At 35.9% G+C, this 3854-nt stretch overlaps 1 annotated feature.

Moving 5' to 3' along the window:
• Nucleotides 1142–1643: an enhancer, noted in NCBI's record as "NANOG hESC enhancer chr18:58936564-58937065 (GRCh37/hg19 assembly coordinates)". NCBI's record gives its function as "activates a minimal SCP1, AML or CMV promoter by ChIP-STARR-seq in naive H9 embryonic stem cells {active_cell/tissue: H9 hESC(naive)}" and the evidence as "EXISTENCE:reporter gene assay evidence [ECO:0000049][PMID:30033119]".

Below are 3854 nucleotides of genomic sequence, written 5' to 3'. Positions count from 1 at the left end.
AACATGAGATTTATATTTAGGGAATGATTAGATGGCATCCTGCTGCAGATTACAGACAGTCATGTAGATTAGTACAGAAACCATGACCTTATGAGGATCAAAGACAAAAGTCACAGTATGGTACACAAGGTATGGCTGAACTTCATGGGTACTGGATGCAGAAAACCACCAGGAGCCAAGTGCTCCAGACTATTCTTGCCTAGTCTCTGTTCTTCTGCTCTCTTCTCCTTTCTGCATCACCTAGTTTCTTCTTCTTACTTATGATTTCTTTTCCATTTACTGCTTCAGCTTGAGTTTGGGGTTGATGTAAACTTGACTTTATCTCATTTTTTTTTCATTATCAACACCTGATGATGTCCACTGCTCAACCTCTGGAAATTCTATATTCACATTCCTTGGAGGAATCTGCTTGGTCATTCCATCTTTTCTCATCAGGGAAGTGCATAGGCCATTGCCAGCCTACAGATTGATTTCCTTTTTTTCCATAGGTTATTGGGGTACAGGTAGTATTTGGTTACATGAGTAGGTTCTTTAGTGGTGATTTATGAGATTTTGGTGCACCCATCACCGAGCAGTATACACTGGACCACATTTGTAGTCTTTTGTCTCTCACCTCACTCCACCTCTTCCCTGCAAGTCCCCAAGGTCCATTATATCATTCTTTTGCCTTTGTGTCCTCATAGCTTAGCTCCCGCATATCAGTGAGAAAATACAGTGTTTGGTTTTCCATTCCTGAGTTACTTCACTTAGAATAATAGTCTCCAGTCTCATCCAGATTGCTGCAAATGCCATTAATTCATTCCTTTTTATGGCTGAGTAGTATTCCATCATGTATATATATATATATATATATATACCACAGTTTCTTTATCCACTCGTTGATTAATGGGCATTTGGATTGGTTCCATGATTTTGCAATTGCGAATTGTGCTGCTATAAACGTGTGTACAAGTACCTTTCTTGTATAATGACTTCTTTTCCTCTGGTTAGATACCCAGTAGTGGGATTGCTGGATCAAATGGTAGTTCTACTTTTAGTTCTTTAAGGAATCTCCACACTGTTTTCTATAGTGGCTGTACTAGTTTACATTCCCACCAGCATTGTAGAAGTGTTCCCAGATCACCACATCCACATCAAAATCTACTGTGTTTTGATTATAGCCATTTTTGCAGGAGTAAGTTGGTATCACATTGTAGTTTTGATTTGCATTTCCCTGATTATTAGTGATGTTGAGCATTTTTTCATATGTTTTTTGGCCATTTGTATATATTCTTTTGAGAATTGTCTATTAATGTCCTTGGCCCACTTTTTGATGGGATTGTTTGATCTTTTCTTACTAATTTGTTTAGTTCATTGTAGATTCTGGTATTAATCCTTTGTCAGATATGTAGATTGTGAAGACTTTTTCCCACTCTGCGGGTTGTCTGTTTACTCAGCTGACTGTTCCTTTTGCCATGCAAAAGCTCTTTAGTTTAATTAAGACCCAGCTATTTATCTTTGTTTTTGTTGCATTTGCTTTTGGGTTCTTGGACATGAAATACTTGCCTAAGCAAATGTCTAGAAGGGTTGTTTCAATGTTATCTTCTAGAATTTTTATAGTTTTAGGTCCTAGATTTAGGTCCTTAATCCATCTGGAGTTGATTTCTGTATAAGGTGAGAGATGAAGATCTAGTTTCATTCTCCTACATGTGGTTAGTCAATTATCTCAGCACCATTTGTTGAAAAGCATGTTATTTCCTCACTTTATGTTTTCGTTTGCTTTGTCAAGGATCAGTTGGCTGTAGGTATTTGGGTTTATTTCTGAGTTCTCCATTCTGTTCCATTGGTCTATGTGACTTTTTAAAATATAATTTAAGTTCTGTGATACATGTGCAGAACGTGCAGGTTTGTTGCATAGGTATACATGTGCCATAGTGGTTTGCTGCACCCATCAATACCAGTACCATGCTGTTTGGTGACTATGGCCTTATAGTATAGTTTGAAATTGGGTAGTGTGAGCCTCCAGATTAGTTCCTTTTCCTTAGTCTTGCTTTGGCTATGTGGGCTCTTTTTTGGTTTCATATTAATTTTAGAATTGTTTTTTCTAATTCTGTGAAGAATGATGGTGGTATTTTGATGGGAATTGCATTGAAATTGTGGATTGCTTTTGGCAATATGATCATTTTCACGATATTTATTCTACCCATCCATGAACATGAGATGTGTTTCCATTTGTTTGTGTCATCTATGATTTCTTTCAGCAGTGTTCCGTAGTTTTCTTTGTAGAGGTCTTTCACCTTCTTGGTTAGGTATATTCCTAAGTTATTATTTTCTTTTTTGCAGCTATTATAAAAGGGGTTGAGTTTTTTATTTCATTCTCCACTTGGTCGCCGTTGGTGTAAAGAAGTGTTTGGTTTTCCATTCCTGAGTTACTTCACTTAGAATAATAGTCTCCAATCTCATCCAGGTTGCTGCGAATGCCATTAATTCATTCCTTTTTATGGCTGAGTAGTATTCCATCGTATATATTATATTATATTATATTATATTATATTATATTATATTATATATGATTCCATCTACTAATTTGTGTACATTAATCTTGTATCCAGAAACTTTGCTGAATTCTTTTATCAGCTCTAGGAGCTTTCTGGAGGAGTCTTTAGGGTTTTCGAGGTAAACAATCATCGTCAGCAAATAGTGACAGTTTGACTTCCTCTTTACTAATTTGGATGCCCCTTTATTTCTTTCTCTTGTCTGATTGCTCTGGCTAGAACTTCTAGTGCTGTGTTGTAGAGGAGTAGTGAGAGTGGGCATCCTTGTCTTGTTCCAGTTCTCAGAGGAAATGCTTTCAACTTTTCCCCATTCAGTATTTTGTTGGGTTTGTCATAGATGGCTTTTATTACATTGAGGTATGTCCTTTGTATGCCAATTTTGCTGAGAGTTTTAATCATAAAGCAATGTTGGATTTTGTCTAATGCTTTTTCTGCATCTATTGAGATGATCCCGTGATTTTTGTTTTTAATTCTTCTTATGTGGTGTGTCACATTTATTGACTTGCATATTTGAAACCACCCCTGCATCTCTGGTATGAAACTCACTTGAACATGGTGGATTATCTTTTTGATATGTTGTTGGATTCGGTTAGCTAGTATTTTGTTAACAATTTTAGCAACTATGTTCATCAGAGATATTGGTCTATAGTTTTCTTTTTTGGTTATGTCCTTTCCTGATTTTGGTATTAGGGTGATGCTGGCTTCATAGAATGAGTTAGGGAGGGTTCCTTCTTTCTCTATCTTGTGGAATAGTGTCAAAAGGATTCATACTAATTCTTGTTTGAGTGTCTGGTAGAATTCTTCTGTGAATCTGTCTGGTCCTGGACATTTTTTGTTGGTAATTTTCTAATTACCATTTCAGTTTCGCTGCTTGTTATTGGTCTGTTCAGGGTATCTAATTCTTCCTGAGTTAAGCTAGGAGGGTTGTATTTTTCCAGGAATTTACCCATGTCTTCTAAGTTTTTTAGTTTATGTGCATAAAGGTGTTCATATTAGCCTTGAATGATCTTTTGTATTTCAGTAGTGTCAGTTGTAATATCTCCCATTTTGTTTGTTTGGATTTTCTCTCTTCTTTTCTTGGTTAATCTTGCTAGTAGTCTATCAATTTCATATATCTTTTCAAAGAACAAGCTTTTTGTTTCATTTATCTTTTGAATTTTTTTTTCCATTTCAATTTCATTTAGTTCTGCTCTGATCTTATTTATTTCCTTTCTTCCGTTGGGTTTGGGTTTGGTTTGTTTTTGTTTCTGTACTTCCTTGAATTGTTACCTTATAATACCAGCTTGTGCTCTCTCAATCTCTTTGATGTAGGTGTTTAGG

The sequence above is a fragment of the Homo sapiens genome, chromosome 18, assembly GCF_000001405.40.
Source record: "Homo sapiens chromosome 18, GRCh38.p14 Primary Assembly".
NCBI classification, from domain to species: domain Eukaryota; kingdom Metazoa; phylum Chordata; class Mammalia; order Primates; family Hominidae; genus Homo; species Homo sapiens.
This window is presented reverse-complemented; position numbering and strand designations above follow the sequence as displayed.